The following is a 14,135-nucleotide window of genomic DNA, read 5'->3' on the forward strand; positions in this document are numbered from 1 at the left end:
TCTCATTTGCTTCTTTAAGCCTATAAATTTTATATTATTCCCATTTTTTTAGATGAGGAAGTTGAGGCTCAGAGAGCAAATAAACTTCAAAAGATCATGGAGGTGCTAAGAGGTAAGGCCAGGACTGTATCCAAATCTGTCTGGCAAAAGAGCTTGTGACATTCACACTATCTGTAGTGTCTCTCATGGCAACACAAAGCCTGGTTTATTTCTTTATTTTTTTTGTTTATAAGCAGAAAGCTGAGGTTCTAGTTCAATAGAAATCTAGCCTTGGATTTTACTCCAGCTAATTTTACTCCAAACCCATGTAAGTTTTTGTTTTATTTTTCCTAAATTAGAGCCTAACTGGTAAGTCTAAAGAGAAAAAAGTCTAAGACCCTGAGTTGCACTCAAAGACAAATCATTCGCCTTCTTTCCCTTTCCACTTACCTGATACCCTTCAACCCTTAACTTCTACCCATCCCCACCTCTCCCATTCTCATTTCCATTAAAGACTTGAGAAACAAACCAAAATGTAAACAAATTTCTGAAAAGGAGACACAGTCTAAGCTTATATTGCTATAATCACCATCCCAGGCACTTTAAATAAATATGCTAGGAAGGCAAAGTAGACTAACTGCCTGCCTTCTTGGAGTTTACATTCTGGAGGAGATAAAACGACAGTAAACAAGTAATTTAAAAAGGATGTCAGGTAACAATAAACACTAGGAGAAAAGATAACACAGGCGAGGGGGATTAGGTGGTAGTGGTAGTGACCAAGGAAGATCTTGTTGATGATGCGACATCTGAGCAAGGACATGAAAAGGTTCATGGTGTAAGCGGCTGAAGAAGGTTTAAGGCTAAGGAAACAGCAGTGCGAAGAACCAGAGGTAGAAGGCAGCCAGTAGGGTTAGAGCAGAGCAAACAAAAAGAGAGTAGCAGGAATTCAAGTCAGAAGAAATCTGGGGTGGGGAGATAATGTACAGCTCTAAGGCCAATGTAAAAACTTAATTTTTTTTTATTGAGAACTGAGAACAATTGAATTCATCCAAAATTGTATTTTTCCTTTGAAAAATAGCTACATGAGCTATATTACCTCTTTACACTGATAAAACATTAAAAGTACTTTTTGGCTGGGCACAGTGCCTCACACTTGTAATCTCAGCACTTTCGGAGGCTGAGGCAGGCAAATCACCTGAGACCAGGAGTTCAAGACCAGCCTGGCCAACATGGTGAAACCCCATCTCTTACTAAAAATACAAAAATTAGCCAGGCCTGGTGCCACACACCTGCAGTCCCAGCTACTCGGGAGGCTGAGGCAGGTGAATCGCTTGAACCCGGGAAGTTGCACTGAGCTGAGATTGTGCCACTGCACTCCAGCCTGGGCGACAGAGCGAGATTCTGTCTCAAAGAAAAATAAAAAAAGTATTTTTTAAAGGTAAGTTCAAATAGCTTTTTATACAAGTATCATGGTTAATTTTACACATGATTTGTACTTGGATTATTCAGAAGAAACTAAGCATTCTCTCAAATGCTTATTTCACAGCTGACATCTAGATACTATCATGCTCATGATAAGACTCATTTGACCATCATACTTACAGAAACCAGGAAGTCAACCTTCTACAAGTAACTAAAAATCCTTGTTGCAAACATTCACTTTTAAAAGGAAGGGATTAAGTCAACTTTGAGCATTTGAAAAGTTTCTCCTGGGTGTAAAAATAAAAAATGAAAAAAAAAAACAAACCCTCCACGTGGAATCATATAAAATAATATTTATGACAAAACAAAAATAATCAGAATTCTGTGTTAAAATAAAAAATGCAGCAGTAGACTTCTTATCCAGTCCTAAACTGTTTCTTGGATGATGTTTGTGTAGAAAATTCCATAAACTTGAGTCCCATTAATTTATATTATTAAAAGAAATAATTTTGTCAACCTCCTCAGTTCTTATCTTGAGTAAATTTTAGCTGAAAATTAATAAGGAACAGGCATCTTCAGGGAAGTACATCAGCGGTGAAATTATTCATAAAGAAGCTAACAAAATATTAGCCAGGTCCATGTTTAACCATATTTAATTTTATATGATCATGAAATCTGATATAGAAATAAGGTATTTTTTAAAAATCCAACTGATTCTTAAATTTTTATGAATTTGTAACGGCAAAACTCTGGGCTATTATTTAACGAAATCTTCACACAAAATTTCTCCCTCTGAGCCCTCCTTTCCACAAACTATCAAAGGAATACTACTACTAATCCAATTTCATTATGCATGTAGGTATGCAATTTGGCAATACAAGCTCAAATCAATGACATATATCCTTTCCCAATAAATATCATTACAATCATCTGGCTATAACAAAAGTATTTCTAAACTCTGTCTGTCTGCTTGCCTTTTTTGGGACTGCACGTAGTCTGACCACAATAGGAGCTATTCTATCATAGACAGTTCTAGTATTACTTCATATTATAAAGACTTAAATAGTTTAGAAAAAATAATAAAGGAGTATAATTGACTAAAAGCATTTTACAAGCCCTCAAGTAGGGTTAGATAAAAGCTATTTAAACACAGAAATCTTACTGGCATTGCCTTCAAAATATATCTACTATCAGACTATTTCTTACTGTCTCCACTGTTGTATTTGCTATAAACCACCGTTACCTCCACCTAGGAGAACTGCAACCATCTCCTATAATTCTGTGCTCAATGAGGCCTACTATAACTGTTCCATATAATACCCTATGTAGGCGGGCATGGTGGCTCACTCCTGTAATCCCAGCACTTTGGGAGGCCAAGACAGGCAGATCACAAGGTCAGGAGATCGAGATCATCCTGGCCAACATGGTGAAACCCCGTCTCTACTAAAAATACAAAAATTAGCTGGGTATGGAGGCATGTGCCTGTAATCCCAGCTACTCGGGAGGCTGAGGCAGGATAATCACTTGAACCAGGGAGCTGGAGGTTGCAGTGAGCTGAGATCGTGCCACTATACCCTGGCAACAGAGCGAGACTCCATCTCAAAAACCAAAAACCAAAAAAAAAAAAAAAAACCAACCAAAAAAACCCGCTACATATAATGCTTATCCCACCCCGATTATCCTGATCTACCTTTCAATTTTTTCAAAGCACTCATCATCATTTAATATACTATAAAATTCACTTGTATTTATTGCTTGTTTTTCCTTATCAGAGTATAAGCTACAAGAGGGCAGCAATCTTTGTTTTGTTCTTTAATGTACTCTAAGCACCCAGAAAAAGATATGTGATCAGTATTTATGGAATGAATATAAAAATAAGTTTCAGCTGATAAAACAAATATGAACAACAGGCCATGCAGTAAATAGTCAATTATGATTGAGAAACATTAAGAATAACAAAAATATACATAATGTGTTCTTATTACTCAGAGGTTACCATACCAGATAAAATAAGAAGTTCAATGATTTCTGCATCTCCAAGGTAAGCTGCGGCGTGCAATGGGGTTCGCTTTTCATTGTCCTGTGATAATAAGGAAAGGTGGGAAATAAGTTTTAAAATAAGATTAATTTTAATAATAGTTTTAATAACCACAACAACAACCCCTCCCCCCACCAAACCATTATTAACTATCAACTTATTACTTCTATAACTCTAGCCTAGTCTGCAAGTCCCAATAAAATAAAAGGATGTGACAAGCCCGGGCAACACAGCAAGACCTTGTCTCTACAAAATTTTTTTTAACAATTAGCCAGGCATGGTAGCATGCACATATAGTTCCAGCTAGGAGAATCACTTGAGCCTGCAAGTGAATGAGGCTGCAGTGAGCCATGACTGCACCACTGTACTCCACCCTGGGTAACAGAGCAGGACCCTGTCTCTATTAAAAACAAAAAAAAACAACAAAACAAAAACACAGGGTATTTCCTTGCTAAGGCAAAAGCCTAAAAAAATACTTGACCTTAAAATAGTGGTATAAAGTCCAGCAAAGAATAAAAATAAAAATCTAAAATGACAAAGAAATAGCAACACTTTCTTTGAATAAAGATGCTTGTGCTGCTGATATATATAGGAAAATTTTACTTCATACTAATTTTTTCGTCAGTATATTTCCACAGTTTTACAGTTTAGAACTGTTAACCTAAACAAACCAAAAGATTTGCTTATCAAAATGTTTTCACAACAGTACCCTTAGGGGCAAAAAGGGAAAATATTTCGGGGGATTCGACATTATACTTTAAAGCAATTTTAAGTTTTTTCTTAACATTCCTGCTAGTTTTACTTTCATCTCCAAAATATATTCATGTCTGTTTCAATATAAAAAATACATACTCATCCAAATCTTCCTCCAGGAAAAGAAGCTACCTCTAATGCATGCTTCATGGACCTCCTACCAGAAAACAACAGTGCTCTCCAGTTCAAGATGCAAGATTTTAGAGTAATGTCACATTCAGGGATTTTTAATTCATAGATACCCTATCTAAAGTTACAACAGAGTATTACTGACTTGGCTGCATTTGAAAAAAACTATTCAGAAATACTCACATTGAAACTTACATCCCTCATTTTTGATAAAGGCTTTTGTGACAGATAGTTAGTTGTTTTCCACTATGTTCTTCCTTTTGTCCACAGGAATAAAATTTTAGCTGGTCACTTAGCCACCCAGTGAGAGAATACATTCCTGGCCTCCCTTGAAGTTGTTGCTTGGTGTGGACCAATGGTATGTGAGTGGAAATTAATAATGGGCACAACTTCCAGGTCATCTTCAACTTAAAAGACAACTACTCTAGGCTGGGCACAGTGGCTCACGCCTGTAATCCCAGCACTTTGGGAGGCTGAGGTGGCGGGTGGATCACGAGGTCAGGAGATCGAGACCATCCTGGCTAACACAATGAAACCTAGTCTCTACTAAAAAAAAAAAAAAAAAAAAAAAAAAAAAAAAAAAAAAAAAGCCGCACGTGGTGGCGGGTGCCTGTAGTCCTGGCTACTTGGGAGGCTGAGGCAGGAGAATAGCATGAACCCGGGAGGCAGAGCTTGCAGTGAGCTGAGATGGCGCCACTGCACTCCAGCCTGGATGACAGAGAGAGACTCTGTCACCAAAACAAAACAAAACAAAACAACAAAAACAAAAACAAAACTACTCTAGAAAGGGGCTAATTGTTTCCTGCTTCCCACAGGCTGGAAGGCACATGTGAAACTGAGCCCCTTTGACCATGGAAATGCAGGCCAATATACTAGCATACTGTCAAGCAACAAGATCTGGAATAAATAATCCTACAGAAAAGAGCTGCCTTACTAGCTTGGATCACTGACTTTCATGCTATTAAGATAAATAAACTTATTTAAAGTAGGTAGTATATTTGGGGGGCCTCTTACCATATTAGAATACTAATACAGTTTTCAAGATTTAAACAAATGAAAAATTATACTTCATTTTGTAATAATTTTCTTGTTTAGGAATCCCTTAATTACTTTAAGAAAAAATAGTTGGGCTATTGAGAATTAAAGTAAAAACCTGCTTGCTAGGCAAAAGAAGGATTAAATATCTACAGGCAATCCAAAAAAGGCTTAGCTGTAGTATGTGATGTTATTATACAGACGTATCTTAACATTTGGGAGGCTGTGGTGGGAGGATCACTTGAGGCCAGGAGTTCTACATCAGCCTGGGCAATATAGTGAGACCTCATCTCTACAAAAAAATAAATAAGTAAATAAATTAGCTGGGCTGGTGGCATGCACCTGTAGTCCTAGGTACTCGGCAGGCTGAGGTAGGATGGCTTGAGTCCAGGAGCTTGAGGCTGCTGTGAGCTATGACCATGCCATTGCACTCCAGCCTGGGCAACAGAGCAAGATCTTCTCTGGCGGGGGGCGGCGGTGGGGCAGGGGGGCAAATGTGTGTAACATATAATTATCACTGGTCTCTTCAAACATTTCTTCCTATAATTTTAATGCTGCTTTTGTCCTTAAAATAGTAACAGGTGTTCCAGTAAAGGGAGGTTGATATAGTGCCAATAATGTTAAATTGTTCAGTAAGCTAAGGGTTCTTTCTCTCACCACAATTAGCACAAGACCTTGTTTTTTATTCCAACATATACCACCCCAGGAAACAGAATGCTCTACACAGAAATTATTCAACAATTGTTGAAAGAGCTAACACAGAACCACTAAAGTAACAGAATACATGCAAAGATGTGTCCTAATTTAGTCATTTTTTTAAAAGAAAGGATACTTTGCCTAGGCTTTTCAGTGTTACTCATTAACACAGCAAACTTCCTAGAGTGTTTAAATATGATCAGATTTAGTCAAACTGAGAAACATCTATTGCACCAGATAAACCACACACATAGCACAACAACACAGAAAGTGAGTCATCTGTGTGTGAGGGATGTCTGGAATTCTATGACTCAATGCCTCTCGAATCCCATTAATGTGTTTTATGATTCATATGAACACAGTTTTTCCTCTCTGCAAATCAATTTGAAGAAAAGGGAGAAATACAACTGGCTAATTTTGAAAGAAAGAATTTATATATCATATTTTACTACAGTTAAACATTGAAAATTAGGTAATAAAATATTTAAGATTTCTTTCACCAAAATGTATTAAAATTAAAAAGTGACGATCCCCTTAGACACAGTAATTCCATTTTAAGGCTTTTTTAAAAAAAGCCTACATATCCAGATAAAATGATTAAGTATATTTATTGAATCACTGTAGGAGGCAAAATGCTAGTAACAACTTAAATGCCCACTAAATGGTTACCTAAAATTATAAAACACAAAAAATTCTTAATCTTTATTTAACTGACTCACAAGATTAACCAATATCCTCGGCTTCCTGAGTAAAATTAATAGATGACTTTGGCACATTAAATATTCTGACTAGTAGTTTACCACTAACAAGCCTACACAGTTTTGCTCCCATGATGGGGTATGTTTATCAAGGGTAAGCTGTGTTTGTTACCACAACTGAAGAATCAATAAAAGCAAACTACTGAAAAAAGGGAAGTGCTATTGAATTGGGTATGGCTGAGACAATTGGAAACACTAAGGCAAACAGTGAACAGTAAAAACCTTAGGGGTTTTGCCCTAAGATTATTTCTTAAGGGTCTAATTTCTCACATCAGCTACAGAAACTCAAAATGGAAGTTATAGATAATGCACTGTGAGTATGGTCTGAGCAAGGAAGAGTACACTGAACACCTGTCAGTGGACTCCACATCCATTGAAAAAGCCTTGGTCTAACTTAAAAAAAAAAAAAAAAGTTATGTACCTTATAGGCACTAGAAAGGATTTAACAAATTATGTTAGTGGAGAACACTTGCCATATAGGTTGTAGAAGACTTCCATATTGACTTTGGGTATGAGAATGAAGCACATTTTAGAACTACCTCTGACAGACAACTGTAAAACAACTGTTAAAACTAGTTCCAAGATGCATGCTATGATCCTCTTCCTCCAAGGAATACTTTGAAAACCTCTGTGGAACCTTAAAGTTTCAGATTATAATATGAAATATCATTAGCATTTATCAGAGCAATGTAACTTTAAAGAAAAATCATAAATAGTCCACATTTCTATTATCATCCTTAATAATTACTATGTATTGAATACATATATATACATATATATATATATATTAGATAGCATTACTGGGTACAGAAATCTAACTTAAACCAGTTTAGGCAAAATCGATTTAAAGGAAGGACACTGAAGCATCTAATGGAATTGAGCACTGAACAACCAAAATTGAGGAAAGGCAGGCATGTGGCTAGGTCGTAAGAACAATTGAAATCAAACACTTGAAACACTTTTGTCTCTGTTTCTTCTCTGCACATGAGCTGCTTTTTCTGTCTTCACAGAACACTTTTTTTCATGGTAGGGAATAAGCCATCCCAACTCCTGATATTTACTCTTAGAACTTCAGCAGCCCAAGGAGAAGTCTCTTAATTCAATCTCCCGGAAGAATATCTGATTGGCTTAATTTGGTGCTCACCAAATTTGCTCATAAATTTAATGCTTACTTCTATATTAACTGAAAGTAGGGGAAGATTAACATGGCAGTTCCTGTAGTAACTATGTAGAATGGTGAGAGTGTCTTAGAGAAGGAGAGCAAACCTGAAGATTTTTATTAGTGCAAGCCATTGCATAAAGCACTTAACACATCTTATTTACTGTGTAAAATTATTGTACAATTTATAGCATGCAACAAAAGGATGAACATTGTATCAGTCTGTTTTGCACTGCTACAAAGGAATATCTGAGGGTGGGTTATTTATAAAGAAAAGAGGTTTATTTGGTTTATGGTTGTACAGGCTGTATAAGAAGCATGGCACCAGGCAGGGCGCAGTGGCTCGTGCCTGTAATCCCAGCACTTTGGGAAGCCCAGGCGGGCGGATCACCTGAGGACAGGAGTTGGAGACCAACCCGGCCAACATGGTGAAACACTATCTCTACTAAAAATACAAAAATTAGCCAGGCGTGGTGGCGGGCACCTGTAATCCCAGCTACTTGGGAGGCTGAGGCAGCAGAATCGCTTGAACCTGGGAGGTGGAGGTTGCAGTGAGCCGAGATCCCGCCACTGCACTGCAGCCTGGGTGACAGAGCAAAACTCTGTCTCAAAAAAAAAAAAAAAAGGCATGGCACCAGCATCTGCTTCTGATGAGGGCCTCAGGAAGCTTACAATGGTGGTAGAAGGCAAAAGGAGAGCAGGGGTGTCACAAGGTGAAGAGAGTGATCAAGAGAGAGAAGAGGGGGTGCCAAGCTCTTTAAACAACCAGCTGTTGCATGAAGTAGGAGAGCTAGAACTCACTCACATTTACTGCTGGGAAGGCACCAATCCATTTATAAAGGATCTGCCCCCATGATCCAAACATTTCCCATTAGGCTCCACCTCCAAGATTGAAGATCACATTTCAACATGAGATTTGGAGGGGACAAACATCCAAACGATATCATTTATTTTCAAAAGCACTTGAAACATTTAGATAAACCATATTCTGAGCCAAAACCAAACCTTAACACATTAAAATAAAGCAAAATCATACTAAGTATGTTCTTTGGCCATAACAAAATTAAATTGGAAATAAATAACAGAAAGATAACCTGACAATTTGAAAATTGCCAAGTATTTGGGATTCAAAGCATATTTCAGTAGTAAAGTAGAATAAATGTAGAAAACTACTTCTAAATAACCCATGTAAAGAGGAAGTCTCCAAGAACATTAGAAAAGTATTTTGAATGGAATGAAAATGAATACAACACATTAAAATTTGGGGGATAAAGTTAAAGCAATAGAGAGCAATTTATATATTAAATGTTTGTATCAGAAAAGAAGGTCTTAAATCAATAATTTAAGCTTTCACTTAAACTAGAAAAAAGGGCAAAATAACCAGCAAAAAAAGCAGAAGGATGAAAATGATAAAGATGAAAACAAAACAAAAACAGAGTATCAGTGAACTCAAAAGCTGATTCTTTGAAAAGATCAATATAATTAGTAATCTTCAAGTCAGAATGATCAAAGGAAAAAATAGTCTGTATCATAACTAAGAGGGGATTATCAATAAAATCCCCAAAACATAAAAAGATGAAGCCAACATTATCATCCTGATACCAAAACCAGACAATTACAAAAAACAAAAAAACCCAGAGATGAATATCCCCCATCAACAGAGACATAAATATCTTCAACTAAATATCAGCAAATTGAATTCAGCAATATTTGAAAAGGGTACTACATCACGACCAACTGGAGTTTATTCTGGGATCACAAGTATCATTCAACTAAAACCAACTGGTGTAATTCAACATATTAGCAGACTAATAAAAAGAAAGGTCATATAATCATCGCATTTAACAAAATCCAACATGTACTCATGATTTTTAAAAAAATTATTTATTTATTCATTTATTTTTGAGGCAGAGTCTCCCTCTGTTGCCCAGGCTAGCGTGCAGTGGCGCGATCTCGGCTCACTGCAACCTCCACCTCCCGGGTTCAAGCGATTCTCCTGCCTCAGCCTCCTGAGTAGCTGAGATTACAGGCACATACAACCACGCCCAGCTAGCTCATAATTTTTAAAACTCTCAGCAAACTTAGAGGGGAACTTTCTTAATCCGATAAAGGGTACAACAAAAATCTACAGCTGACAGGTAATTTAATGGTGAAAGAGTGAATGTTTTTTTCTGAGATAGGAATGAGGCAAAAATGTCTACTCTCACCACTCCTACCCAAGTACTTGTCAGTAAAATAAGGAAAAGCAAAAAATCTTATCAATTGAGAGGGAAGAAAGAAAAGTATCTCTAGTCATAGATGGCATATTATTTATAAAGAAAATCCCAAGGAATCTAAAAAAAAAAAAAATTCCTAGACTAAGTTTAGAAAAGTTGTTGAATGCAAGGTCAATATACAAAACCAACTATATTTCTTACTAGCAATTAATAAGTGAAAGTTATACTAAAAAAAAGGTATCATTTAGAATAGCATCAAAAGGTAAAAAGAGAAAGAAGGAAAATAAATGCTTAAGCATAAATCTAATAAAAATTTGCAAGATTTGGGCCAGATGCAGTGGCTCACTCCTGTAAACCCAGTACTATGGGAGGCTAAGGTGGGCGGATCACCTGAGGTCAAGAATTCAAGACCAGCCTGGCCAACATGGCAAAACCCTGCCTCTACTAAAAATACAAAAATTAGCTGGGTGTGGTGGTGTGCGCCTGTAATCCCAGTTACTTGAGAAGCTGAGGCAGGAGAATTGCTTGAACCCAGGACATGGAGGTTGCAGTGAGCCAAGACTGCACTCCTGCCTGGGCAACAGAGTAAGACTCCATGTCAAAAAAGAAAAAAAAAATTTCAAGATTTGTATGCTGAAAACTATGAAACACGCAAGAAAAAAATCAAAGAACACCTAAGTAAATGATGAGAGACCATGTTCATGAATTGGAAGACTCACTATTGCTAAAATGCCAGTTTTCCTCAATTTGATCTATAGATTCAATGCAATCACAATAAAAATCCTCACAGGATTTCTTGTAGATATTAAAAAGCTAAAATTTACGTAGAAAGACAAACTAAAAAGGCAGAAACAATTTAGGAGGAACAGCAAAGTTGGGGGCCTCACGCTGTTTGACTGCAATAATTACTATAAAAGTGAAGTAATCAAGGGAGGGTGGTATGAGAAAAAAGGCAGACATGACCAGAGCAGAGTCTAGAAATAAACCCACACAAATATGATTGATTTTTGACTAAAGTACAAAGGCAAGTCAATGTAGAAATAATCTTTTCAACAAATAGTCCTGGATAATCACATGCCACAAAATTAACCTCCATCTATACCTAACACCTAATATGAATATTAACTTAAAAGGAATCATAGACCTATTTCCCAAATCTAAAATTATTAAACTTAGAAAATTGTGGGTTGTGTAAAGAGCTCTTAGATGCAATACCAAAAGCAAAATCCATGAAGTTAATGAATTAAACTTCATCAAAATGAGACTTTTGTACTGAGAAAGACATAGTTAAGAGGATAAAAAGACAAAGCATGCACTGGGAAAAAATACTTGCAAATCACAGATCTGACAGAGAACTTGAATTCGGAATATATAAAGAACTCTCAAAACTCAAAAATAAGAAAACCACCCAACAAAATATGGGCATTTAAATTATGCTGGGACAATGTGGTACCTATTTGGAAAAGAATGAAAACAAAAACCAAACCCAAACACTACCTCACATTATATGTATAATTTAACTGCAAATATATTATAAAACTAAATGTAAGCAGCAAAATGTTAAAAGCACTCATATATGAATATGGAATATTATCTTTACAACTCAAGTTAGGGAAAGACTTCTGAAACAAGATATCAAAAGCATTAACTATTTTTAAAAAACTGAAAAACAAGGCATAAAAAATTAAGACCTCATGTTTAATTATACCATAAAGAATTCTGAAAAGACAAGTTTGAATGGGAGAAGATATCTGCAACACACGCAAGTCAAAAAGGGCTCATATCCAGAATATAAAAAGACCCGCTGCAAATTAATAAGAGACAACTCAAAAGAAAAGTAGGCAGGAGATTTATTTATGTATGTATGTATTTATTTTTCAGACAGAGTCTCACTCTGTTGCCCAGGCTGGAGTGCAGCAGCACAATCTCGGCTCACTGCAACCTCTGCCTCCAGGATTCAAGCGATTCTCCTGCCTCAGCCTCCCCAGTAGCTGGGACTACAGGTGCCCACCACCACGCCTGGCTAACTTTTGTATCTTTAGTAGAGATGGAGTTTCACCATGTTGGCCAGGCTGGTCTTGAACTCCTGACCTCAAATGATCCACCCACCTTGGCCTCCCAAAGTGGTGGGATTACAGGCGTGAGCCACTGTGCCCGGCCCAGGAGATTTAACAGGTACTTCATAAAAGAGGCTGGCTATATGCATGCTTAATTAACATATAAAATGTGCCTGAAACTGTCATAAAAAAGCAAGCTAAAATAACAACATACAACTATGTAGGAGGAAAAATCAGTTTTTCCCCTTCTACTCACACACCACTCAATACAAAACTGATACTTGATGTGTGGAGGTTGTTTCCTCATAAAGCAATTCCCCGGAGGACACCAGCTGGGTGTACTCTAATTCCATTTAATCCTGACACTATCTACCTGAAGATAGCATCAGATCTCAAAGTGAGTGCTCAGTCCCAAAAGACTGCCCCTTACTTCAGATGCCAGTCCCTACTAGTAGGTTTTCACCTATACTTCTCACCAACTGGCTATAAATTGAGGTTCCCACTACCTCTTTCTCAGGTTTGATTAGTTTGCTAGAGGAGCTCAAATAATTCTGGGAACACTTTATTTATATTTACTGATGTATTAATAACACAAAAAAGGGTACAGATGAACAGCCAGATGAAAGAGACGTATAAGGCACACAGCTTCCACGGAAGGGCGTGCAACTTCCATTCCCTCTCTGGGTGCACCACCCTCCAGGAACTGCCACATGTTCAGCTACTGGAAAATCCCTGAACCCAGTCCTTTTGGGCTTTTATAGAGGATTCATTACATAAGCATGACTGATTAAATAACTGGCTACTGGTGACCAACTCAACATTCAGTCCCTCTTCTTTCTCCAGAGACTGGGGGGTGGGGGGCTTGAAAAGTTCAAGCCCTCTAATCATGCTTTGGTCTTTCAGGTGACAAGCCCTCATCTTTAAGCTATCTGAGGGGCCTCAAATAGCTCAGATAGCACCTCATAAGCATAAAAAAGACACTTATCACCCCAGAAATTACAAGGGTTTTTTAGAAGCTGTATGCTAGGAAACTGGACTATGTCCAAATAAACACTTTACCATATCGTACACTACATACTTCAAAAACCAAGAATGTGGTCCAAAGATGTGGATGAATAAGAATTCTCACACAGTGCTCATGGAAGTTTAAGTTATTTAATAATATGACATTATCAAGTAAAGCTGAATATATGTATAGCCAAGTATTTATACTATAGAAATGCACGCTTATGTGCATCAGAAGACAAGTTTACAAATAGCTGCATCATTCAAAATAGAAAAAAAATGTGAAACAACCCAATTATCCATCAATAGCAGAATGGATAAACTGTGTTGGATGCATTCAGTGGAATCAGGTCAATTTTTAAAACAAAATAGCATTGCACAAAAGAACCCAGACTCGAAGAAAATATACTGTATGATCCATTTGATTCAAAATATGCAAAACTAAATTATATTGCTTGGGGAAGAATAAGTAGGTGGCAAAATTATAAAGAAAACCAGAAGAGACTATTATAAAAATTTACGGGTAACACTGAGGGGTGGGGTGGAAAGTTTTGATCATAAAGTGGTCACCAACAAGGGCACTTCTGAGGTGCTAATGATGTTCTGTTTTCTGATCTGGGTCGTGGTGACATTCACATATTCATTAAATTGTACATTTGTTTTACATAAGTTTATTATATTTCCTAATTTTAAAAAAGTTAAAAGGAGGAGGAAAAAGTTGGTTATGAAAGTGTAACCATTCTTCCAAAATATCAATTAAAACACATCTGAATTAAGAGGTAAAATATATCAAAGAATTGACAGAAAACAAAAGCTCTGAAATGATATTTCCAGCCTAAGAACAGTCGTTGCTTTTGTTGGTTTAGGAAGTTTTGTTCTCCTGAACTA

General features: G+C 36.9%; 1 protein-coding gene across 32 annotated transcripts in view, besides 1 other annotated feature; it reads right to left on the reverse strand.

The window, feature by feature from the left end:
- Positions 1 to 14,135, reverse strand: part of ANKRD28 (ankyrin repeat domain 28) — a 192,579-nt gene that overhangs the window by 95,596 nt on the left and 82,848 nt on the right. For all 32 annotated transcript variants that reach the window (XR_007095653.1, NR_146111.1, NR_146112.2 and 29 more), the window contains one exon: positions 3,403 to 3,481. Coding sequence is in view for 26 of the 32 variants with exons in the window: in XM_011533542.4 (XP_011531844.1) it covers positions 3,403 to 3,481 (79 nt within the window). In the remaining 6 variants the exon portion in view is untranslated. The remainder of the gene's footprint in view (positions 1 to 3,402; positions 3,482 to 14,135) is intronic.
- Positions 6,149 to 6,198: a silencer, noted in NCBI's record as "silent region_14108". NCBI's record gives its function as "represses an Ori minimal core promoter by ATAC-STARR-seq in GM12878 lymphoblastoid cells {active_cell/tissue: GM12878}" and the evidence as "EXISTENCE:reporter gene assay evidence [ECO:0000049][PMID:35858748]".

The sequence above is a fragment of the Homo sapiens genome, chromosome 3, assembly GCF_000001405.40.
Source record: "Homo sapiens chromosome 3, GRCh38.p14 Primary Assembly".
Classification (NCBI taxonomy): Eukaryota; Metazoa; Chordata; class Mammalia; order Primates; family Hominidae; genus Homo; species Homo sapiens.